Genomic DNA, 25,451 nt, shown 5'->3' on the forward strand with positions numbered 1-25,451 from the left:
TTGTGGAAATACGGAGAAATAAAGCCACATTCTTAAAATACATGTAGAGGAGCAACTTAAGTGTTAAATAAAAAACAAAGACAGCCATCACCTCTCAAGTGGTGGCAAAAATGATCACAATATTGGCAGGAATTTTCCAGATATATTTTCCAAATTTAACACTCTATAGTGAACATTTAGATGGAGGGAATTATTTTCAAATGACAAATTTAGTATCTGTAGCAAATTATTCTCCTCTGGAAGAACTAGACTTTTGCACTTTAATAACAGTAGAAAGAATATTTTCTAAAAGTCTGAGGTCACAAAGAATCATAGGAAGAGGTGGAATACTCGGAAGGTCTTGCTCAAGGAATGTTTTCTTTACTTTAATGGAATGTATCGAAGCTTCCCGGGGTCACTGTGAAGTCAAAAACTTTATTCTAGAAATAAGAATTGTGGTTCTCTTGAGTGGATACTATCAAAACTGTTTTGTCATGCTGATAGCTGGGCATTCTGGGCAGGAAATTTCTTTTGTAGAAGGGCCACCATCTGCTGTATAGATACTCTATGTTTTATGTTAATTCTTTGGGTTTGGCATATGAAAGAATGCCTGAAAAATAAGCAAGTGATTTTGCTAAAATTCTACATTGAACATACAGGCTTACCTCGTTTTATTGTGCTTTGCTTTATTATGTTTCACAGAAAACAAATTTTTACAAATGGAAGGTTTGTGACAACCCTGTATTGATCAAGTCTGTCAGCTCCATTTTGCCAACAGCATGTGTTCTTGTCTCCGTGTCACATTTTGGTGATTCTCTCAACATTTCAAACATTTTCATTATTATTATATCTGTCATGTTAATTTGTGATCAATGATCATTGGTGTTACTATTGTAATTGTTTTGGGGCACCTCCAACTGCACCCATATAAGATGGTGAACTTAATTGATCAGTGTTGTGTATGTTCTGATTGCTCCACCAACCAGCTGTTCCCTAGTCTCTCTCCCTCTCTTCCTTTGGTCTTCCTATTGCCTGAGAAACAACCATATGAAACCAAGCCAATGAATAAACCTACAACGGCCCCTGAGTGTTCAAGTGAAAGGAACAATTGCATCTCTTTCACTTTAATCAGAAGCTAGAAATAATTAAGCTTAGGGAGGAAGGCATATCAAAAGCTGACACAGGCCAAGAGCTGGGCCTCTTTTATCGGTTAGCCAACGTGCGAATGCAAAGGAAAGTTCTTGAAGGAAATTAAAAGTGCTACTCCAGTGAACACACAAATGATAAGAAAGTGAAACTGCCCTACTGCTGTTGTGGAGAAAGTTTTAGTGGTCTGGATAGAAGATTAAACCAGCCACAACATTCCCTTAGGCCAAAGCCTAATCCAGAGCAAGGCCCTAACTCTTTTCAACTCTATGAAGGCTGAGAGAGATGAGGAAGCTGCAGAAGAAAAGTTTGAAGCTAGCAGAGATGACTTCGTAACATTCAAGCAAAGAAACCATCTCCATAACATAAATGTGCAAGATTAAACTGCAAGTGCTGATGTAGAAGCTGCAGCAAGTTATGCAGAAGATGTAACTAAGATCATTGATGAAGGTGGCTATACTAAACAACAGATTTTCATTGTAGAACAAACAGCCTTCTATTGGGAGATGTCACCTAGGACTTTCATAGCTAGAGAGAAGTCAATGCCTGGCTTTGAAGCCTCAAAGGAGAGGCTGACTTTCTCGTTAGGGGCTAATGCAGCTGCTCTCTTAAAGTTGAAGTCAGTGCTCATGTACCATACCAAAAATCCTAGGGTCCCTAAGAATCTTGCTATATCTAGTCTGCTTGTGCTCTGTAAACAAAACTACAAAGCCTGGATGACAGCTTATGTGTTTTTGGTGGGCTTCATTTTAAGCCCACTGTTGAGACCCACTGCTCAGGAAAAAAAGATCCCTTTTAATTGACAATGTTCCCAGTCACCCAAGAGCTCTGATGGGGATGTACAAAAAGATTAATATTGTTTTCATGCCTGCTAACACAACAACATCCATTCTGCAGCCCATGGATCGAGGAATAATTCTGATTTTCCAGTCTTTTTATTTAAGAAATATGTTTTGTAAGGCTGTTGCTGGTGTAGATAGGGATTCCACTGATGGTTCTGGGCAAAGTAAGTTGAAGGCCTTTTGGAAAGAATTCACCATTTTAGATGCCATTAAAAACATTCATGATTCATGGGAGGAGGTCAAAATATTAAAATTAACAGGAGTTTGGAAGAAGTTGATTCCAGCCCTCACGGATGACTTTGAGGTGTTCAGTACTTCAGTAGAGGAAGTAACTGCAGATGTGATGGAAACAGCAAGACTAGAACTAGAAGTGGAGCCTAAAGATGTGATTGAATTGCTGCAATCTCATAAGAAAACTTGAACATATGAGGAGTTGCATCTTATGGATGTGCAAAGAAAGTGAGATAGAATCTACTACTGGTGAAGAGGCTGTGAACATTGTTGGAATGACAAAAAAGAATTTAGAATATTACATAAACTTAGTTGATAAAACAGCAGCAGTGCTTGGGAGGATTGATTCCGATTTTGAAAGAAGTCCTACTGTGGGTAAAGTGCTATCAAACAGCATCACGTGTTACAGAGAAATCTTTCCTGAAAGGAAGAGTTAATTCATGCATCAAACTTCATTTTTGCCTTATTGTAAGAAATTGTTACAGCCACCCCAACCTTCAGCAACCCTCACCCTGATCAGTCAGCAGCTATTAACATCAAGGTAAGACCATCTATTAGCAAAAAGAATACAACTTGCTAAAGCCTCAGTGTGTATTTTTTTTTTTTTAGCAATGAAGTATTTTTAAGTTAAGGTATGTACATTTTTTAGACATAACGCTATTGCACACTTGATATAGTATAGTGCAAACATAACCTCTCTATGCACTGGGGAACAAAAAAAGTGCGGCTCTTTTTATTTCAATATTTGTTTTTTTATGGGGGTCTGGAACTGAACCCACAGTACCTCTGAGGTATGCTTGTATATAAATCTTGAAACAGATTAATTCTTGTCCCTTTCCTCATAAATAGTACAAAATAAAACATTAACTCAGAAATCAAATTCCTTGACCCAACTTGGGGTGTTTCTGGGGGCAGCTATAATTTATACAGGTTAACAAATATCTAAATTTTATTTATATTAAATGTTATATTGTACAGAGTCCCTAGCACATAGAAAAATGCCTTACATGGACCCAAGAAAAAAATATTTCCTATCACAGACTTTAGTATTTTGAAGAACCCCTTTGCTTATGTTTCACATCCAATTGAAGATCGTATCTGCGCATTTAACACTTCATTTTTTGAAAATATGTTTTCTAGCACAAAACTGTATAAAACCTTTATATATCATGAAGAGACTTCCCAAGCAGATAGTTTTATATTTTATGCCTCTTTTGCTGTGAATTTCCATGATCTGCAAGTGTCAATGACAATTCAAAACTTCATATGAAGCACTATAAAATCCCCCCCTTTGGTAATAAGTAAGATAATTATTCCATTTGGTAGTTTTTAAAATATAAAAATGCATAATTAAATGATCTGGTTAAAATATTCAGCTATTTCAATTCTATTATGTAAAGCTCTTAGAAATTCCCTGGCACAGAGTTAGCTATTATTACTCATTCTCCAAAAATTAGTTTAAAAGCCATAAGGCATCTCTTTTGTGAAGCCTTCATTGACCATAAATTCTCACTGTGTCATGGCGTCATGCTGGCCAGAATTGGGAATCTGCTTTTCTACAAAAGCCAATTTGATAAACAAAAAATATATCTCATTGTTTTGTAATAATTCAAACCATTTGTGCGTCTTTTTCTGTGAATTGCCTATTTCATGACTCTTGTCCATTTTTCTATCAGTATGTTAGCTGTTTTTAAAATTTGAACCATTATTTATATATTAAGGATTTGATATTTTATGTGATATTTTATTGCAAGTATTTTCGCCAACTTGTCCTTTGTCTTTTGATTGATTTGTTTGCATACAGAAGGATTACATTTTTGTATTGTTAAATCTATCTGTTTTGTATGTGATGATTTGGGGACAATTTCGGAAGGGTGAAAGGTTGCTGGCCATTCTGTGCATTACTGCTCCCTAAATATGCCACCACAATGGGCAAGAACTGTAAATGTGAATCTGAAACTTAGGGAAGGAGTTTAGGTTGGAGATGTTGATCAGAGTGTCACCTGCCTAGTGCCTTGTGAAAACAAAGACACAGGTTAATTCTTCCACAGCAAGAGTAGAGATAGAGCAAGGAAAAGGAACCCACGTTGGAATGTCTATATTTGGGGGATAAGGAGAAGAAAATGAGTTCTCAAAGCTCATATAGAGAAATAACCAAAGAGAAAAGATAGGGCATCATTATAGGCCAGGAAGTAAAGAGATATAAGGTGGTGGTCAATTGGTTAAGTAGGGTGCGATTTGGCAATTTGGCAAGAGGTGCCCATGAAAAAGCCAAATTGCAAAAACAGAGGAGCAAAAAGGAGTTTAATAGACTAAACATTTTTCTATTTGGTTGAATGAGCACCATCTCTAAGAACATATGGAAATATTAAAACAAAAACAAAAACCATGCTTACATGTACAAAGTGGTCCTACATCTTGTGTGGTTTCCTTATGGCTTCTTTCATTTCCACCACTGTAATAATTTTTTAAAGCTTAAAAGGAAAGCAAAGGAAACATTTTATAGGGAATTCACACTTTAAAGCCCTCTCCATGCCTAGGAATAAATTTAATGGGTCAATGATTCATCTTCTGACATTTTATTATAATCACTAAAGTCACTTAATGGATTTCACTGGTTTAGGGAACTGGGTTGATTCTTTCCATATGGATTCAAAACTGAATTTCTTTAAATAGGAAAGATACCAAAAAAGGAGAGAAAATCTGGGAGAGGTGGGATCCCTCACAGGTCACAAATGTGGTATAGACTTATGAGTGGTCTTGGCTTTCAGAGCCAAACCCAACCTTGCCAGAGGAATGGAAATGGGGCTGCTTGGTTACCTCCTCCCCTGTATTGTTTCATATCCTCATGACTTATGTGTGACATGACTTTTGCATGCTCTGCTAATATGCCTGGCATTTTCTGTATTTGTTTTTTTCCTATCAGGGAGCAGAAAGAAAAATCCGAGATGAAGAGCGGAAGCAGAACAGGAAGAAAGGGAAAGGCCAGGCCTCCCAAACTCAATGCAACAGCTGTGAGTTTCACTGAGACTAATGTTGCTTTCTAAAGACTCCAGGTGGGCTGTGTCCACTGGGGGAACAGGTGGAAGAAGTGGGTTGCAGGTAAAACTGCATACATGCAAGGCATGGTTTGCTTTCCCCTGGCAGTGGAGACAGGGTGATTGATTATCCCTGTGAAAAGCAAATAGAATCACATGAGCACAGTGTGTTTGAGCTAGGAAGGACTTTGTAATAATGTGGAGACCAGCATCCTCCTTCTGCAGACAAGGAATCTTGGGTGCATGAAAGGACAGGAGGGTGTGAGGGGCCTCGAGCTTCACCTCAGCAGTGCTCACTTGAAGTCTACGCTCCTGTTTGTTTTGCTGGGATGAGGTGGTGGGAGGTGTTGAAGTGTGTTCACATCTATGGTATTCAGAAAGCTTCATATGAGAAAATCGTGGACTTTAGGACTTACAGTTGAGAGTTCTTAGTCATATATGACTCTCTCATTTATGAGTTTGTGTGATCCCATCCAGCCTCTGATGGGAAGTTGGCTGCCATACCTTTACAGAAGAAGAGTGACATCACCTACTTCAAAACCATGCCTGATCTCCACTCACAGCCAGTTCTCTTCATACCTGATGTTCACTTTGCAAACCTGCAGAGGACCGGACAGGTATGACCTACCAGCTAACGCCCACCTCCCATCCATCCACAGGGCAAGTAGGGCTTTAAGATAGAAGCATTTCAGACAGTGTTGACCTCAAAAATAACTTACCTTCCATTCACTAGAGAAAAAGTCAATGTCATTCCCTATAGTAAATGCATTTTTATAGAAAGGAATGTCTCAGGAGAGGAAACTAAGTCGAAGAGGAGAGTAAGCTGATATTAGTGAAGCCTTGACAAAGCGTGGAAGAGGAAGAAAGTGAGAAGGCTGATAACCTGTAAGAAGTTTTGTTCTGTCAACTTTGTCATGGCCAGGATTATCCTGAAACACAATAGAGCTCCACCTAATGGTGAGAAGTTGAACTGCACCTGTAACTGCATAAAGTTGCACAAGAGGGAAGTCTCCGCTTAAATAAAACTCATTCAACAAATTTTCGCTTAGTAAATAAAAAGTTCCCATTTAATAGGTAAATCATTTCACATCAAAAGAAAAATGAGGTTGTAGGCAAGCCCCCTTAAAAAAATTCCTGTCTTCTAGTTATATCTACAAGTGAAACGAAAGATCTCAAACTAACATAAATGTCCAATAATTAACTCATTATGGTAGCTCAAGTTGATGGAATATTATGCAGTCACTAAAATTTTAATTATGGAAACTACATAGCAACATGGGACCTAGTTATGATAATGTTCAGTGGAAAAAAATGTAGAATAGTAATTTGTGTTCATATTATGATCCCAAATATATAACTGAATTTGAAGGGAGCAAGAAAAATTGCAACACTTTTTACAGGGTTATGAGATATGGCTGATTTTTTCTTTTTATTTTTAGTATTATTTCTGTTATGTGATAAACAAAAAATTGTGTGAAAAAAGAAAAAATAATTATTTCCTTAGCATTAACCAGAATTGTTTTTCACCAAATCAATTGGGTTTTAATGAATTTTTGTATCAATTAGTTTTCTTTTAAACCCAAAGTCCTTTGAGGAAACATCTGTTTTGAGAAACAGGAGCATACTGACACATTTAAGTTTTTCTTGCATTCTAAGCATGCAAACACTCAATGGAATTGACCTTGGTGTAGAAAGAGAAATCCCTACTGGCTTTACTTTCTCTTTTGGATGTATTTTGTCCCCTAGTATTCTGTGTTCTTTTATTAGATTCATGAGACAGAGCAACTCTACAACCACGGCTTTTTTGTTGTTATTCATGACCCAACATGGTAATAAAATGCCTATAGCTGTTTCTTAAAACACATCAACACTAAAAACCCATTTAACATTTTCATCCAGTCTTACTTGTTGGATAAGAACAAGGACACAAAGTAGGGAGGAAGAATTTTATAATTTATCAAGATAAGCATGCCAGTACCTATTTTTTTTTTAATTCCCAAGACCATGGTGATGATTTGTGTCTGCACTGTCTGTGCCCCATGGGATTTTATGGGGCTAGGTTTCCACACCTTCCAGAAGAAGGGATAGTTGAGTTAAATTGTTCTTATTGTTTAGTTTACTGTCATAACTCTGGCCTCAGTTCCATGTCAAAGCTGGCAACCTGACCTGTTCTGTTGGCAAGATTTCTCCAAAATATACAAAGTGTAAATTAATCTGAAGAGGAAAAGTGGCCTTACCTAGCTGCTCCTGACTGTCAGTCCGCTGACCTCTCCTGCCCCCGGGTGTCATAAGCCCGGCTGTCAGCCTGAGGTGGAATCAGAAGGAAAAGTGCAGACTTTTCAGTCTGTTGGTTTCAGCATTTGCCAGGCAGTCCAATCAGCACCCCCCTGTATATCCTGCCTATATATCCCCCTGTATATCTGGAGGCCTTCCTCAGAGCTCTCAGGCTTCTCCCATGGCCTTGGATTTGGAGATGAGGGGGTCAATGAAGAAGCCTGCCCTGAGCTTCTGGCAAAAAAGGAACACACTCAGCTGTCCCTAGAACAACCTGTGACTATCCTGTGGTTGATCAGCTGGCTTAGCTGAAGGAAAGGAGCTTGGACAGTGGCTAGGGACTTTCAGACTGCCTTTTCTCAAAAAAGTTAGATGCCTGGGAGATCCTTCCAAAGACAGGAGGGAAGAGGCAGTGCCATGGCCTTAGATTTGGGGATGGAGCAGAGATTGGCTAACTTTGACCTGCAGAACAAGAGCCAGCAGTGGCAGGTCAATGGATATGGCTGGTTTCCCTTAAGTGGGTAGAAAGAGAAAGGGGAGCAAGAGAGACGCAAGGATTGGTGTCCATCTCAGAAACCGCCGCAGTCCTGAGACTTGCTAAAATTAGCTGCAATGCAGTTGTGCACAACTGCGGGGCCAGCAGCCCTGTGGTTCTCATGGCCAGTGAGGCACCCTCAAGCTATGCTGAAGCTATGGGGCAGCAGTCCTTGTTCACTCAAGGACATGACTTGGGGAGTGGGTATTTCACTCTCAGGCCACCTGCCCCCCACCCCACTGATGATCTCATTGATTCACTTGTGGATTGAAATATTCTTCAGACACTTATCAAAACTAGTATGAAGGAATAAATCCAATGTGCAGGTGCTATGGAGCCCTTCAGTCTCACTCGCCTGATACTGAAGCCCTGATATTCAGGCTGTTTATGTCTGGACGCCTTTAAAGGTCATGAGATTAGGCGAGATTGGGAAAAATGGTGGGATGCAGCGGCATCATCTTTTTAGATAATGTCTACTTTGCAGGCATTAGCCTTCCCCAAAGTACTTGAACCCAAGGAGGACTCCTCTCTCACACACTCAAAAACCATCTCTTGCACTGTTGTTTGTAAAAAAACTTTTCCCACATCACAGGAGTTCTTGATAAGGATTCGGATTCCTGAGTTCCATCCTTCATCTTTTGAGTTAAAATTCCCCAAGTAAGTTCCAGGAATTTTTATTTATGATAAAGTCTCCAGATATTTCTATGCACTCTAAAGTTTGAAAAACATGCTCTAAAAATTAAGTTAGTGCAATGGGCCCAACAGCTGACATGGAAGAAATAGTGGGTCTTTATGGGCAAGGAGGAGAAATGACAAAGAAGGGACAGTGATAGGACAGTGATGTAGAGGCCATTCAGGAGGGTGGGAAAACACCTAACAGAAGGCTGCTTCCATCTTTTAGTCACCAACCAACTTTGTAGAGGCCAGCAGTCAGGCCAGATAGATACACTATGCCATGTTTAAAGAAAGCAGCAAAACACAAGCCAACATGGGGAACTTTATCAAAATAATCCAGTTGCATGGCCAGTGGAATGCCCCAGCCTCCTTCACTTAGGTGGGTTACTCTATATTCATTAAATTAGGCAGTCCTATTCCTAGTACATCCCAATGACAGTTGCTCTGAATGCCACACTGAGACTTGTTGTGGGGAGAAAAAACTTACCTCCACTGTTTTCTGTTTAAGAAGAAACTAAATAAACAATACAACAACAGCCATTAAAAAATTAAGAGGAAAAATTCCTGTAGAAATCTGAGCTAATGACTAGAATGACTCATTCCCAGAGAGTTCCAGGTAACCAGTCTTGTTTTGTAACTAGGTCTAGGCTTGGCAGCATCCCAGGAACTGCCAAGAGCCTTTGAGAGAGTTTGCAGGGAGGTTGTCTATCTAGACACAGCTGTTTCTCACCCAGGCAGGGGCAGGGACAGTGACTAATATACTAGGATCAGAGGCTACTTTTGAGTTAATATGTAAATGTCTGATACTAACTCAGGTATTATTCTTCACTCAAAGGCAACAGTCCTGACACACACAGATAAAGATGACAAAAGACCCACAATTAGTGTTTACAGATAATTGGGTCAAGAGGACATATATGCACAGCAGATGCCCTCTGGGTTTCTCCCATGGTTCTATAAAATAATAAGGATGCTTCATAATTTCTTTAATCTGATTCTGCCTTCTGCCATGCCAACTACCTAAAGTCTGTCTTTGGAGATCTTCCTTCTGGCCAGGAACACCTTCCAGAGCTAAATGACCTTTCCTGGCCTGAAGACTGTTGACTCCCAAATTTCTGTGGTTGCGGGATGCCAGGATACCCCGGGCCCCTTTGGGGAGTAAGTAGACAGGCCTAGTTACTGTCACACTGCCCTCTTACCCCACTCTCCATCCCGCATTTGGTCCACAGACAAGCTGACTCCAGACACTGTGCTACACAGGGGGCAGGAAAGGACCCACCCTGCAAAGCCAGAGCCTTTGTAAACAATGGATTTTAGATCCCGCCAAAATGTCTCCTTAATGTCAAAAGGAAGATTTGGCTTAATGCCATAGTTAATCTAATCAGACTGACTTTAGCTAGAAATAATCAGATTTCCAATTTTATTTTATTAAAATCTAGGAATTAACCCCATGGAGATTATAAGGAACTTAAATATGCATTTCCTTAGAAATACACACACACACACACACACACACACACACACACACACACACTGTTATTAAACAGATTAGTCTTTTGCCTTTTTAAGAGACAGTTTATGCCTTAGGAAAGTCTGTACATCACGTAATATTTTTTCCATTTCTTGTCTCTGACCTACAGTAAGCCTATTGTTTTGTTCCACAGGTGTATTACAACACGGATGATGAACGAGAAGGGTAAGACACTCAGTTCTTTCATTTCAACACTCCAAGTCAGCTCATGTCAGTGGTAATGGCTCTTCCAGCACTTGGTAACCCTAGGCAGGAAGTGAAACCCTCCTCTCACCTCAGGACTCAGAGCTGAGAGACGCTTGATTCTGGGGACCATCTGGGAGGGAGGCTGGGGGCTGGAGGAATGAATAGCTTTCTACTTCCAGGATTCTTTCCCCACCCGCTTCCTCCCTAAGACCCACCCCTTTGAATAACTAGCTGTTTTTCTAAGGGACCGATCCCTTCCATTCCATCCTTTCATCAATAATCCAGTTGGTGAAATCTTCTCAGTAGTCCTTCTTACCTATTGTTTGGCCCCAACACAAGATCAAGATGAGCTTGAGGCAAGAGTCAAAGATGACAGCCTACCCTTCTTCCAGTACTGCCTGGGATGCACACACAACTCTCAAAGCCCTGTCCCTGAGAAGTTAGCCTGGCAGGCCAGTAGTGAGGCTGGTTTGAATACCAGTTGGACTGAGAGCCTTTTCAATCGTAGGTAAGAGACAGTCACAGAGACTCCCAATGTCTCCACATCCTGAATGTGGTCCTGCAGGCTTTTAGGAGCAGCCAGATCTTCAAAGTGCTTTCTATCCATTAATTCAGTTTGTAGACTCAGAATTTTAGGGCCAAAAAGAAACCTTAAGGTCATTTAGCTGACCTCCTCTCGTAGATCATGGTAATAGCTATACCACCTCTTTGACAAGCAGTCAGCCATTTTCTACATGAAAATTCCCAGTGATGGAGAGTTCATGTGTGTGAGATAGCTCATCACACTATTGGACGATTCCAGCTCGTAGGGAGTTCTTTTGTCTGTTGAGCTGATGTCTACCTTCTTTTGACTTCTACCCGTTGGCCTTAGTTCTGCTCTCTGGATAAGTCTCATCTTCCCTCGTCATTCAAACACCCCTTTCCTCCCTGCAACTGTTCTTGGTAAAATACAGTTTTACTTCTCAACATCTTAATTTCCCTCCAAGGTATAGTACTAAATTTGTTAGTAGTCTCCTTAAAATTGGCTGGGTCAGAATAAATATATGTTCTGAACCACATAAGTTGCAGATTATATTGGGAGATTTCTTCTTAGGACCTGGATGCTATTTTATACTCAAAGCAATCTAGAACTACATGCATTTTCAATAGCTACTTTATGTTCTTGGTTGCGTTACCTGTGTGTCACTAAAATCTTTAGATGTTTTTTCTTCAAACTACAGTCAAACCAGGGCTTCCCTATTCTTATATAATTAATATATTTACTTGCAAAACATTTCACAGTTGGCAAATTGGAGCAGATATTGCTGAGTTTATTCCTAGAGCAGAGGTTGGCAAACTATAGCCAGAGGACCAAATCAGGCCCACCGCCTATTTTAGTATAGTCTGCAAACTACAAATGGTTTTTACATTTTTTCAATGGTTGAAAAGAATTCAAAAGAAGAAGAATATTGCATGACATGTGAAAATTAAATAAAATCCAAGTGTCCTTAAGTAACGTGCTACTGGAAACAGCTGTGTCAATTTGTTTATGTATTGTCTGTGGCTTCTTTGCTGCTACAGCAGCAGAGTTGACTAGTTACAACAGAGACCATATGGCCTGCAAAGTCTAAATATTTACTGCCTGCCCCTTTACAGAAAAAGTTTGCCACCTTCTATCCTAAAAGATAGAAAATCTCAAAGGAGTCAAATGATTCCCTAGCTAATGAGGAGCAGAACCTCATCCAGCACTTAACCTCTAAATTCTGAGTTCTAAATTTTCTAAATGCCTAATTAGACTGTTCTTTTTATCTTGGCACATAGATAATACATTCCCAGCGGTTAGAATGAACATAAATGACTAGCACTGTCAATTCTAATCAGTAATTCCCATGTTTAATGAGGCACAATGTGGCGTCACAGAAACAACATTGACTCTGAGCTCAGGAAGCCCAAGTTCCACTCCTGGACTGCCGCCTACCAGTGTGAAGCCTTGGGCCAGCTCCTTGATCTCTGGGCTTTGGTTTCCTTAATTTGACATTGAGCATCTTGCGTAAGATCTCGAAGATTCCATCCAACACTAACATGCTATTGTTCTCATGGGAAAACTTAGTATTATGAGTGAGAAGGGCCTGAGATCCTGAATGCTCCTTGATGTGCAGGCCTCAGTTGTAAATCTGTCTCACCTCAAACTGTCCTTCCTTGCAAGCTGACTGCAGTTAGATGGCCATCGACCTACTTGTAACTCCATTGGTTTGACTTCTCTGTGTTGGCTCACCCTGTGTTATTGTACAAACTTGAGGCCCAAGGTCTGCATCTTTTGCTCTTACACATCTCACTAGAGTTTGAATGAGTGACATGAACAGCATTGGAACCAGAGTTAAGACATGGTAGGTGTGTAGCTATTGTGATGTGTAAAAGTAATAATTAACATTACTGGATACCTTGGCTAGGCACCGTGCTAAGTGCTTTATGCATGAACTCATTGAATTCCCCCAGATTTCCCATGACTCCCATTTTATAATGAGGACACTGAGGCTTCAAGAGATTAGGAGACTTGTTCAAAGACACACAGCTGGTAAGTGATGGAGGCAGGATTTAAACCTGGGTTTCACTGCATTTCCCATCACTGGCTTTTAGCCATGATGCTCTACTGTGTAACCCTCTTAATTCTTGACCTGTGGCTATAAAGTATGTATTGAGAGACAGGCCCTCCCTGAGATAACTTTCCAGCCTTGACAAAGGCACACCCTTGGTTCATTCCTTGGAGTGTAGGACCTAGATTGTGACAAGCCCAGATGAGTGTGTCTGGCAGAGGGGAGCAGATCTGAGGCCACCATATGTGTTCACCTAGCCCTAAGGAGTGCCAGCTTCGCTGGTATTTGTACAGCTTCCATCAGGACTGCTCATTGGCCACGTTCTTTCCTCTCCCTGCCACGTTGATTAATACTCACATAAATTAATGCTCACATTAGTGTTCAAGTATGCAAATGAGTGCTTAAAATCATCACTCACACAATGACCAGACTGAGGATATAACACACAAGAGCCCCTCTCCTGGTAACCCCACAATCATGCAGATGTGTTGACTTCTCTGCATTACCAGTCTGGTAGGCAGGGGATATGACAGTTAGAAACAGTCTTTCAGACAGCAGTTCTCAACACCAGGTCCCTTGCTGCACAATCGAATCACCTGGGGGTTTAAAAAATATCATGCCAGTCAGCCACAATTTGAATCTGGTTTTGATCTTAGAAGTTCTTAACTTAAAATAACAATCTTTTAGAGTCTCAGTTTTCTCATCTAAAAATAGCAGGATAATAATAGCCACCTGCTAGCGTTATTATAAGCATTAATGTATAGAATGTCCTGACACACAGAATTTGATTTTTTTTTAAATCATAGCTATTGTTATTGTTAAGATTCCTATTCAGACCATGAAAAAAATGATACTTAATTGAGAAATGGAAGAGAGGGAGATAGAGATGAAAAGAAAGAACAAGCCAAACAAATAATTTTCTGTAGAGAATGGTCCTTTAATGTGGAATTTATGGATGTCTCTTATGGAGAAAGAGGGGCAGGCTTTAAACTCCCCTGAAATAATATGCAAGTTGATATGCAAATAGCATGCATGATGATAAATTCTATTTCCATTATTTCTGGAGATCTGGTCTTCATCTACATCTGACCTCTGGTTTCTTGGAAACCCCTCTTGCCCTGATCCTCTGTCCCCAGTGGGCCCCGCTGAGGTCCTCTTTTTCCAGCTTGCAGCAAGGTCCCTTCAAGTCAAGCAGCTCTGTGGCTTCTACACTGCATTTGGGGCAGTAGTATCCTTGGTAGGGTTGGGTGATCATGTGTTCAGAGGTCAGTGGTTTCTCTTCAAGATCTTACCATTTCCAGGCTGCTTGGGATGCTCAGACCTCAACTCTCTCCAAGACTTTATTTTCTCCCATGCTTCTTAAAGGCACACCACATACCATGATCTCCCTTGGAACCACCATGTATAATCTCTTCAATGGTTTTTCAAGTCTTCTTGGCTGGAACATTGGTCTGCCACAAGCTATAACATTTTAGCAGGAAACAGAAATATCTGTATTACCTTTGAAAATGATTCCTCTGGGGCCTACTGACCTAGTCATGACTTGCAATTTTGAGCTCATAATTCAGTAACAGTTACTAAATCTATGTTGTGTGTTTTTTGTTTTTGGTTTTTTACTGATTCTCTCAAATGATTTATATTAAACATCTTAAACTAGCATTGATTAAAATCATTTTGGGCTAAGTTCTTCCCCAAAGAGTAATTCATTGAAAATAAATGGATTCAGACCCTACTTTATAATGTGAAAGACTTTGTGCAGATTTGAATATAAGATGACCTGTTTTCTGAGGATAACATGGGCAAGGGACTTCCATTTAGGTAGGGCATTCATGGTAACCGCATACATAGGCCACAAGCAGAATTGAGAAATAGGCAAACTACATCTCCGTGGTGCCTGCAACCCCATTCTTTCCTCTTCTTGAGCACCTCCTCAGTAGGCAAACAATGCCTAGTGAAGTTGACCCTGGAAGGTAGGCTGCAACATTGCCTTTTACAGGTATGGCCAGAGATCCATGGTTCAGACCTGACACCTTCCCACTGTTTTTCCAATGAAACTTAGCACTACCTTTATACCTCAGGGACTTGATTTCCCTGAGTTGATCCTACAAGGTAATGGCTGAATGTGCTGCCGGGCCTAGAATCATTCTACATAATAACCACCACATTGTGCCAGGGAGATGGAAATTGATGTCAGAGAAAGCACCCTTTTCTTGCTCTCCAGTCCTTTTGTGGTACATTTATCCCTCAGTATCTGTGGAAGATTGGCCTCAGGACCGCCCACGGATACCAAAATTTACAGACTGAAGAGTCTCTTTTATAAAATGGCATAGTATTTGTCTATAACTGACACACATCCTCCCTTAAATCATCTCTAGATTATTTATAATACCTAATCCTATGCAAATTCTGTGTAAGTAATTGATATACTGTATTGTTTTGGGACTAATGATAAGGAAAAGTCTGTACATGTCCAGTACAGATGCAAATTTTTTCTGAATTTTTTTATTGTGGTTGGTTGAAGCTATGGTTGTGAAACCCACAGCTACAGAGGGTGGGCTGCAGTTGGACTGGGCATCAGGAGACCTGAAATTTGCTTTCTACATCTGTCAAATGGGGCAGTCATATCTGCCCTTCTTTTCTTGCCTTGCTTTGAAAACAAATGAAACAGTTGAATTTGAGCCACATAAACTTATTCACTCCTACTGAGTTTATAGATTTGAAAGTGTGAAAAAGTATTTTTGAACTCCCAAAATAAATGTGGTTTATCCAAGATGTTATTTTAATGGCAGAGTTTGTCATGGTTCAGAACAGGGTGCTATCAAAAGTCAGCAGAACTGGAAAAATATAAATAAATCTTGCTTGGTGAAAAAGAAAGTCACTAGCTTAGGAACCCTCACACAGCATGATGGAGTGTCTGGTGGTATTTCAGGCTATTTACCTATGATTAACCTACTAGTCACTGACTGCTGTGAATGGGTTTTTTAATCTTCTAGCCCTGAGGCCATGGTCACTTTAGTTCCAAGACGTTACACAGTAACGTGACCTGCTTTTACGACAAGGTAGTAAGAGGAAGGCAGAGGGAACACTGCCCTAAAAACTTCAATAAGTTACCACCTTCAGCTGGGATCTGGGTTTTAAGTTTTTTCTCTAGTTGTTTCCATAGTTTGACTTACTAGGAAATAAATTCAGAGGATGCTGACACTGAAGAGCATTTCTCACACCCTTCCTCATTATCTCAGGGTTATTGAATAGCTTTATCATGAGGTTGCTCCCTCAAAGGTGCTTCTCTGAATAGCCTGTTTCACATATTAGTTGCATTGCCCTGCATTTGACACTTAACTCGTTGTACCTTTTGTCATCAATGAAATGGGATACAATTTTCTTAACAGCCTCCTTTTAAATATAAGGAGACTGAGGCCCAAGACAGTTGAGGAACTGGTCCGGGCTCCTACAGCAAATTGTAAGGCAGGGATTTAAACCAAGGTAATGTGGTCTCAGAATTCCTGTCTTAACAGTTCTGCTGAGCTACCCATCTGGCATTTCTTCACGTGCCTGGTCCCTGGAGGCTTGGCCCTTAATCCTGAATATTGAAATCTCAAAAGATCAAAAGCCCTGAAGTCTAAAATCCCTCATGTCATATTTTTGGGATTTCAACATTCAGGATCATGGCATCTGGGATTGTGTCTTTCGGGATTGTGATCAGCACCGGGTCCCAGGACTTCAGAGACACTAAAAATTTCTAAAAACCTGCATCTGTTCCCTTGAAGGTTTGAAAAACAGTAAGATTCCATTCGGGGACATTTTCTCAGTATCAATGACTTCTATCCTCTTAGTTTCTGTTTCTCTCAAAAAAAAAAAAAAAAAAAAAAAAAAATCCTCCCCTTGCTTAGGGCACCCGGGAGACTAAGGAAGGACAGTGACTGTGGGAGGAAATGCAGAAACATCAGAACCAGCCGAGCTGGGGACATGCAAGGCCTCAGCACCGCAGGCTTCTGGGAAAGGGGACTGCAAACCTCTCCCGAGAAGGAGCAAAGGCCTGGGCAGCCAAGGTCTGAGTGTGTAAGGAACTTCCACCACTGCAGTCTCATCTGCTGCGGCCAGAGGGAGAGGTGGAATGGCAGGAAAGCCACATCACAGAACTCATGTCAGGCTCACAGCATTTCCAGATTTCTCTGCTGTTCCCCCAAGGGGGCTGGCAAAAGGGGGCAGGCCACCCAGGCCTCAGCTGGTTGGGAGGGGACGATGTGACTTGGACACCATGTGGACACCAGGGATTTACTTCCCCCCAGCCCCGATCTTGAGCAGAAAGAAGGGATAGGTGTAGGACGGAGTGGGTAAAATCCACTTTTGAAGTCTCACCTTTGTGGATCCATATTCCGCAGTGGGAAGCACGTGTTAAGTCCATGCCCTAAAGATAGTGGTGTGTGTGCTGCTTCAGACAGGGATTGCTTGGGACCTGCAAGGGGAAGAAGGAGGTTGGTGAGTAGATCCAGTTACGGAGCATAGGGACGGTATAAGCAAAGGGAAAGACAGAAACGGACACACATGTGAACGTGTGTTTTGACACCTTGCTGGTTTTACTTAAGGATTTCTGCTTATCTTTTCTAGTGGCAGTGTCCTTGTTAAACGGATGTTCCGGCCCATGGAAGAGGAGTTTGGTCCAGTGCCTTCAAAGCAGATGAAAGAAGAAGGGACAAAGCGAGGTATCTCTCCTGCTGGGGCATGCCCTCTCAGAAGGGATGCGGGGTGTCTCTCCCAAGAAGAGCTTGCAGCCCTCTTGCCCAGGCCCCCATGGCTCTGTGCCAGCCTGGTGACTTTCTCTTCACACAGGAAGTCCACAGTCTTCTTCTTTGCTTTAAACTCTGTCCTTTCAACACCTTAAGAAAACATTTGTCATTCCTGGGTGCTGGTTCTTTCCTTTGCCTTGGGAGAACGTAATGAATAAACAGACTCATCCAGCAGCAAGGTACAAGGTTAAGAACGAAACTCTTGCTGCGTGTGTGGACAGTCATACCTCATAAGAACTAGTGATTGAGCCTCATTTGATACATGCAAACTATTCATCTCACCCAAATAAATGAGCCTCAGGTTTCTGTGGCATCACCACTTACTCATTTTCTCCCAGTCAAAGGTCTTATTCTGCTTCACCAAGAGGGTAAGAAACAAAGCTTGACTGTGCCCATGTCTTGCCCAGCATGTCAATGCCATACAGGATTCCATGCCCTTCCTCGGAGTAAGAGGAAAGTGTGTGGGTGCACATTCCCCTCAGTATCCTGCTGCAGCCAACACTGAGGCTTCTATAGACCCAAGACCTAGCCAGTACTGGATTTTTTTTTTTTTTTTGAGACAGGGTCTTGCTCTGTCACCCAGGAGGTAGTGCAGTAGCACGATCATGGCTCACTACAGCGTCTACCTGATGACTTTCAGCTATCCTCCCACCTCAGCCTCCTGAGCAGCTGGGACTACAGGCATGCACCACCATGTCTGGCTAATCTGTCTAATGTTTTATAGAGACGAGGTCTCAATATGTTGCCCAGGTCTCAAACTCCTGAGCTCAAGCTATCCTCTTGCCTCAGTCTGCCAGCAGTACAGAATTTTTTTTTTTTTTTTTTTTTTTTTTTTTTTTTTTTTGACAAAGTCTTGCTCTGTTGCCAGGCTAAAGTGCAGTGGCGTGATCTCAGCTCACTGCAACCTCCACCTCCTGGGTTCAAGTGATTCTCCTGCCTCAGCCTCCCAAGTAGCTGGGACTATAGGTGTGTGCCACCACGCCCAGCTAATTTTTGTATTTTTAGTAGAGACGGGGTTTCACAATGTTGGCCAGGATGGTCTCGATCTCTTGACCTTGTGATCCGGCCGCCTTGGCCTCCCGAAGTGCTGCATGGACTTTTAATGAGTCAGTTCACCATGTTAAATATGCCCGCCATCTGCATAGGCTTGAGTACTTTGTTATTGAGAAATTTTATTTTTTTCCTGTTTGTTGTAATGGGATTTGCACTGTGGTCAAGAGAACCCGTCTGTAGCCTGCCACAGCCACCTGCAGTTTTGTGACCTTGGAGAGGTTCCTCACACTTCTGCTCCTCGGCGTCCTCATCTGTAAAAAGGAGATGGCAGGAGTGCCTACCTCATAGAGCTGTGTGAGGACTGAGGAGTTAATACCTGGGAGACGCTTCAGGCAGGCACCTCCCACATAGGCAGCACTCCGTGTTCGCTGTTGTAACTGTTAGTTTTATTATTAGTAACTAGTTAAGTGATATTATCATAACTGTGGATAAGTAATTAGTGCTTCAGAATGGAAACAGCATAAATGCATAAATGCTACGTTAGAAACATTTAAAGGTTTACAAAAATTTCTTTAAAAAAAATTTTTTTTTGAGACAGAGTCTCATTGTCACTCAGGCTGGAGTGCAGTGGCGTGATTTCAGCTCACTGCAGCCTCTGCCTTCCATGCTCAGGCGATCCTCCCACCTCAGCCTCCTGAGTAGCTGGGACCACAGGCACATGCCACCATGCCTGGCTAATTTTTTGGTAGAGATGGGGTTTCACTATGTTGTCCAGGCTGGTCTCGAACTCCTGAGCTCAAGCAATCTGCCCGCCACAGCCTTCCAAAGTGCTGGGATTACAGGTATTAGCCACCATGCCTAGCCAAACCTTTAAAAAATTTTCTGATTTCACAAACTCACCATCAAATATTCCAGTACATTTGAACCTCATTCTTGGATGGCTTTTCTATAGAGTCAGGGCAGTAACATGGAAATCAAGAATCACGGAATCACACAGGCGAAACTAATTATGGCTAGCCTTCATACAGAGTGCTTGGAGGTTAATCCAAAGACTGTTTTTCAGATTATTTTGAGATTGTGAAACCAGCACAAAAATTGCCTCTAGAAATTGTACTGGGCTGTGGCCTTTGAAACATCTGAATCATAGACACATGAGGGCGCTGTAACCTTCCAGCAATAACGGGCACTTTCCTCGGGAGTGATTTTTCTTTGGAAAAGGTCAGTGGGGTTACTGGGCCCCTTGCTTGGAGCATCCACTGAGCTGGTCTTTGACAAATAGGGGAATAAGGCTCAATTACTTTGCCTATTTGTTTATTTGTTAGAAGTTCTCCAAGAGAGAGAATGAACATAATTATTACCAATGCCACGATTATTGGTTTTTGCCTTTGTGGCAGGGTGTCTGTGTGGGAGTCCCTTGGGGGCTGCCCATGTGGCCACCTGCCTTTGGCTGCACAATGCCTGGGATGCATGATGGTTGTTCTTGCGACTATCAGCAGAGTGATTACTTCAGTTGCTCTGCCACAGACACAGAGTAATGAAAGCTGGCTCCCTGGGAAAGCTGTGGGGGTGGACTGTGAGCCCAGCACACCTTGTGAGTTGCTGTCAACAGGCCCAGCAGGGGAACGGTGGAGCTGCCCTGCCTGGTGCCACTCCAAGGCCCATCAACGCGGCTCCCTTTAACACTTTCCAGCCACACCTGAAGCAAGAAGAGCAGCCATATCATTTCAAAGACCACGATTTCAAAAGAGGAGATTTGTAAATCCAGTGGAAGCAGTACTCATAATAGAAAATGGTTTGGGGGACCAGGCGTGGTGGCTCATGCCTATAATCCCAGCACTTTAGGAGGCTGAGGCGGGTGGATCACTTGAAGCCAGGAGTTCGAGAAACCCCCTCTCTACTAAAAATACAAAAACTTAGTCGGGTGTGATGGCACATGCCTGTAATCTCAGCCACTCAGGAGGCTGAGGCATGAGACTCACTTGAACCTGGGAGGCAGAGGTTGCAGTGAGCTGAGATCACGCCACTGCACTCCAGTCTGGGTGACAGCGAGACTCTGTCTCAAAGAAAAAGAATATAGTTTGGGGGTCAGCCTGCTGGAAATTCCTTTTTTTTTCCTGTTGGGGGCTGCAGAGAGAATTGTAGACTATTTATCTGCAGCAGCAATCAATGGCTTTTTTCCTTGACTTTAATTTTCCTTATCTGGATGTAACTAAGGTCCTGTATTCTAATTATTTTTCCTTGTACCGCTAACATTGAGTCCTCTTATAATAGCCATTAGGTCATTAGATTATTTTAGCTGAAATGAAGGCTATAAAATATTCCTTCCAAAGAACTAAATTTGGAAATCTTTGGAGACACATTCTATTTATTTAATTGGTGTTTTACTTTTATATTTGGTAAAAAGAAGAGACTCGGCAATACCTGTTCATTATTTTCTTTTTCTTTTTCTTTTTTTTTCATACACTAACTGAACATCCACTGGCTGCAGAAAGGAAATGCAGGCAGAAGCCACATGCACCCGTGTAGACTTGGCCTTTGTGAAGCAACCAGCTTTAATGAAGTCCCCCCAGGATTGGGAGGAGGGGGAGGAGGGGTGGGAGTTTGGATGAGAGCTGATTTCATTTTCTAGTTTCAACTTTGTTCTTCTGGTTGATGGCTCTGTTGGTGTCTGAGTGTCGCTGGTACCCAGAGTTGGCAGGGTTTTTTGCCTTGTGCATTTTCCCTAGATGGCCATGGAGCTTCAGCCTTAACCTTCTTCCTTCCCTCTGAAGGAAGAATCAGAGGCCACATCACTGGGAGGAGGGAGACCACTCAGTGGGGATGAGGGTGGCCTCTGAATGACAGTTCCAAGTTTATTCTGGGAGCTGAGCTGCAACACAACTGCTGTAAGGATGGGGACAGGCAGAAAGGGCAATGGTGGCAGAAGGAACATCAGCCAGCAGCTGTCACGTCTGTGGGACCCTGGGGGAGTGTCTCAGCCTCTCTGAGCCTCAGTGTGCACATCTTAAAAGATAGCCAAGACTTCCCTATCATCTCTCATACTCTCTACGTTCTGAAATTCAGAATGTTATTTTGCAGAGAAATAAATAGAAAAGCTGTACTCCACTTCACTGAGGGCACTAGAACCATGACAACTGCTTCCCCCACTGATCGAGGACGGGTGCTTGCTGTGTGCAGGCCCTGGGCTAAGCGTGCCACATGGCTTTTATTTCATTTAACCCTCACAGTAGCTCTGCGAGGCAGATGTTATTATCCATGTTTCGCAGAGAAGACCAAGGCTCGGAGAGTTTAAATGAACAAGGCCCACAGCAGGGGTTGCACTCTGGGGTCAAACCCAGCCCCGTGGGACTCCACATCCTAAGCCTGCTCCTCCCCTTGTCTCGGACAGTGCCCCGTCTCCCTCCCAGGCCTGTGCAAGTTTGTTATCTGCCTGGAGTTTGCTCTCCCTCTTCTCCCTTTCTCCCCACTGCCCCCATCTCATCACTTGCCTGCATTCACGCACACACAATTCACAACTTGGATCTCTCCTTCAAGGGACCCTTCCAGGAACTTCCCCCAACCCCTCCAGGTCACGGCCAGGCCCCTATAAGCACTGTTTCCTGACATTTTCCTCCATAACCCTGTGTCTAGTTGTCTGCTTATTTGAGGAAAGCCTGCTTCTCTAAATGGACTGCAAAATCCTTAAGGACAGGGGCTGTGATTTAACTAACACTGCCACAACCCCAACTCCTAGCACACATAGCCTATGGGCCCAGGTGGGCATTCAGTAATATTTGTCAAAGGAACAAATAACACAGAGGAAAAGAGGTTGCAAAAAGAGATGCGATGTACCCCTCAGGAGAAATTCCAATGGGAACATTTGTGTCAAAGCATCCTACGGCCGGGTTGTCGGTTTATCTCATCTAATCACTCCTTCACAGTCCCTAGCCACAGGTTGTTTATGGAGATGTCTCAGTCACCCTTGTTGAATGTTAGTTATCTGGACCAGGGTTCTGAGGCTTCGCAGGAGGTGCCACTCTCCAACACCTGTGTGACAGGAAACAGTCCCCTGGAGCAGCTGTGGAATTGTGCAGCCCCTCGGTCACGTGGCTCTCTTGCCCATCTCTTCCAGTGCTCTTGTACGTGAGGAAGGAGACTGACGATGTGTTCGATGCATTGATGTTGAAGTCTCCCACAGTGAAGGGCCTGATGGAAGCGGTAAGCCATATACTCCTTTCAGCCTCCAGGAAACCTGCTGTGTTCTCTCTCCTCTGGAATCCATGTACTAACGTGCAGCCACCGAGATGGCTTCAGAATGAGCTTTATACAGAACAAGAAAAACCTAAGATTTGTGGAGGCATTGATCTCGCTACTGTCAAGGCTTATTAGCATCTTGAGGAGAAGGAAACTGAAAAACTGCCAATTCCCTGTCAGTTTAAGGCTAATCACAGTTAGATGCTATGGAGGAAGGTGAAACTGAGTTCTCACTTGTCTCTCGGTATGAAACCGAATTAGATATGATTAACTCCCAAATATATACAAAACAAAAACAATTAACAAGTGTTTCACTGGCCGTGATGGTGTAGTCCAAAAGAAATATGATCTCTTGGTTAAGAAAAAAAAATAATGCAGAATTATAGTGATTTGCAGTAAGACTTTTCCCTTCCTACCCATGGTCTTGTCTAGTATTACCCAACTTGGGCTCACAAGAAGCTATTTTACATTTTGTTTGTATGTTATTCACCTGAATATAACCTCACTAGAACTCTACTTTGAATACACTCCCTTACTCCCTTCACTCCCAACTGCTCCCCCACTGGACCACTGCCCCATACAACTATATTGTAGAAGATTTGTTTTTTTATAGTGATAGAGACAACAGGACTGCCAGGAACACAGTTCAAAATTGTTGGTTGGTTTGGAAAACTGCTACATTGGAGCAGCATCTTGGGTTATGAAGCTAAATGTTAAACTATATGGGATAGTTCCTGTAAGTGGAATCATACCATTTCTTTCATTTGGGATACTCTTTTTTGAGCTTCCTTTGTGTTGTAGTAATCGGGACTTCACTCTTTTTATGATTAAATAGTATTCCGTTGTGTAAATATACCACATTTTGTATTTCCACTTATCAGTTGATGGACATTGGAATTTTTCTACCTTTTGGCTATTGTGAATACTGCTACTATGAACATTCATGGACAAGTTTTGTTTGAATACTTGTTTCCAGTTCTTTTGGGTATGTTCCAAGGTGTGGAATTGCTCAGCCAGATTCAAAAAGCCACATGTGGTATGATTCAATTTATAGGACATATTGAGAATAAGCAAATCCATAGAGACGAAAGGCAAGTTAGTGGTTGCCAGGGGATGGGGGTAGGAGGTGGAACAACTGCTTAATGGGTTTTCTTTGGGGGGGATGAAAATGTTTCGGAATTAGATAGAGGTGATGGTTGTACAGTATTGTGAATCTACTAAACAGCACTGAATTATACACTTTAAGATGGTTAAAATGGTGAATTGTGATATCTATCTATCTATCTATCTATCTAGTATTCATTGTTCACCAGAAATTTTTAAAAACTGTACCAATGTCATCACGCTGCCCTCTGTGATCTGTTATTAACAAGTCCCCAGGCAATTCCGAGTGGAGCATCAAGGACCTCCGTCTAAGAAACACACTGATGGAGGATTAGGTCATCTTTTTTCTTCTATAGGATTTTTCCATAGTATGGAGTTTGTTGTTACTGGATCTGCCTCACATTAAGGAAAAACAAAAACAGAAATCAATGCCACAAAAATATGATCTATATATATTGAAATAAACCAAGATTTTCAAAATGAGTCTAAGATTGCTAGGGGATAGACTAAGCTGGAAGCTCATAAGCTGGAAAAGCTCATAAAATATTCAGACCTCTCTGGACAACTTTGGATAATTTCATACTCCAATCTGGCCTTTAAGACTATATTACCAAAACTGACTTAATGGGGACAGTGATATTTGAAAACCACAGAAGCAGTTGCTTAAATGCATATTCTCTGACTTCAACTCTAGAGATTCTGATACTTCTGAATTGCAGGTAGATCAGGGAAGGGAGGAAGTGGGGATCAGGAACTTATATTTTTAACGAGCTCCTGAGGATATTCTGAGATGAGCTAGGTGTGAGAACCTCTGATCTAGACCATTTCTGAATGGATTCATTACACTCCGAGTCTTCCTTTTTCCTTGGTGTCTTTTCTTTACCTTCCATGGCATCTGACCAGTTCTATAAGTGTTCTGTGGATGCAGTTGGAATGGACCACAGTGGAACTCAATGTCACCTTCGATCCCACCTAAACAGCAGCTCAGCAACCTCTGCCTACCCTCCCCGCCTCAGCAGCATCTGGCTGTTGATCCCTTTTAGTGGGAGCTCATTACACCTGCCTCACTTTGGTTAGCTGAAGGTACAGTGTGAGGGGTGGGGATGTATCCTTTGACCCTGTAAGCCACAGAGAGGTCAGGTTCCCTAGGCTGGCTCTGGTCAGATGTCTTATGGCAATTCTGATTTCATCTCCCCTTTATGTCTAAAAAGAAAAGGTTTCATTGAAGCACCAACACAGGCTATCTCCTTGCTTCCTAAGTTATGCAAATGGGAAAGCTGTGCAAGAGAAGTTCCTCCAGGATCCTCGGGTGATGCAGTCTGGA

The 25,451-nt window shown here is 42.0% G+C and overlaps 1 protein-coding gene across 4 annotated transcripts in view, besides 6 other annotated features; it reads left to right on the forward strand.

The window, feature by feature from the left end:
• The window catches only part of GRHL2 (grainyhead like transcription factor 2), a 188,762-nt gene that overhangs the window by 134,074 nt on the left and 29,237 nt on the right, over positions 1 to 25,451 (forward strand). For all 4 annotated transcript variants that reach the window (NM_001440447.1, NM_001330593.2, NM_024915.4 and 1 more), the window contains exons 10-14: positions 5,125 to 5,212; positions 5,714 to 5,853; positions 10,385 to 10,416; positions 17,619 to 17,713; positions 22,902 to 22,987. In NM_001440447.1, the coding sequence (NP_001427376.1) occupies positions 5,125 to 5,212; positions 5,714 to 5,853; positions 10,385 to 10,416; positions 17,619 to 17,713; positions 22,902 to 22,987 (441 nt within the window). The remainder of the gene's footprint in view (positions 1 to 5,124; positions 5,213 to 5,713; positions 5,854 to 10,384; positions 10,417 to 17,618; positions 17,714 to 22,901; positions 22,988 to 25,451) is intronic.
• Positions 7,809 to 8,103: a silencer, noted in NCBI's record as "tiled region #9664; K562 Repressive non-DNase unmatched - State 21:Repr". NCBI's record gives its function as "represses a minimal TATA promoter and a strong SV40 promoter by Sharpr-MPRA in K562 cells {active_cell/tissue: K562}" and the evidence as "EXISTENCE:reporter gene assay evidence [ECO:0000049][PMID:27701403]".
• Positions 16,789 to 17,988: an enhancer, noted in NCBI's record as "CDK7 strongly-dependent group 2 enhancer chr8:102655529-102656728 (GRCh37/hg19 assembly coordinates)". NCBI's record gives its function as "activates an origin of replication core promoter dependent on BRD2, BRD4, P300/CBP, MED14 and CDK7 cofactors, with strong dependence on CDK7, by STARR-seq in HCT116 cells {active_cell/tissue: HCT116}" and the evidence as "EXISTENCE:reporter gene assay evidence [ECO:0000049][PMID:35650434]".
• Positions 16,789 to 17,993: a biological region, named in NCBI's record as "CDK7 strongly-dependent group 2 enhancer GRCh37_chr8:102655529-102656728".
• Positions 17,165 to 17,664: an enhancer, noted in NCBI's record as "H3K4me1 hESC enhancer chr8:102655905-102656404 (GRCh37/hg19 assembly coordinates)". NCBI's record gives its function as "activates a minimal SCP1, AML or CMV promoter by ChIP-STARR-seq in naive H9 embryonic stem cells {active_cell/tissue: H9 hESC(naive)}" and the evidence as "EXISTENCE:reporter gene assay evidence [ECO:0000049][PMID:30033119]".
• Positions 17,914 to 17,993: an enhancer, noted in NCBI's record as "active region_27731". NCBI's record gives its function as "activates an Ori minimal core promoter by ATAC-STARR-seq in GM12878 lymphoblastoid cells {active_cell/tissue: GM12878}" and the evidence as "EXISTENCE:reporter gene assay evidence [ECO:0000049][PMID:35858748]".
• Positions 20,397 to 20,897: an enhancer, noted in NCBI's record as "H3K4me1 hESC enhancer chr8:102659137-102659637 (GRCh37/hg19 assembly coordinates)". NCBI's record gives its function as "activates a minimal SCP1, AML or CMV promoter by ChIP-STARR-seq in primed H9 embryonic stem cells {active_cell/tissue: H9 hESC(primed)}" and the evidence as "EXISTENCE:reporter gene assay evidence [ECO:0000049][PMID:30033119]".

Source organism: Homo sapiens, chromosome 8 (genome assembly GCF_000001405.40).
Source record: "Homo sapiens chromosome 8, GRCh38.p14 Primary Assembly".
NCBI classification, from domain to species: domain Eukaryota; kingdom Metazoa; phylum Chordata; class Mammalia; order Primates; family Hominidae; genus Homo; species Homo sapiens.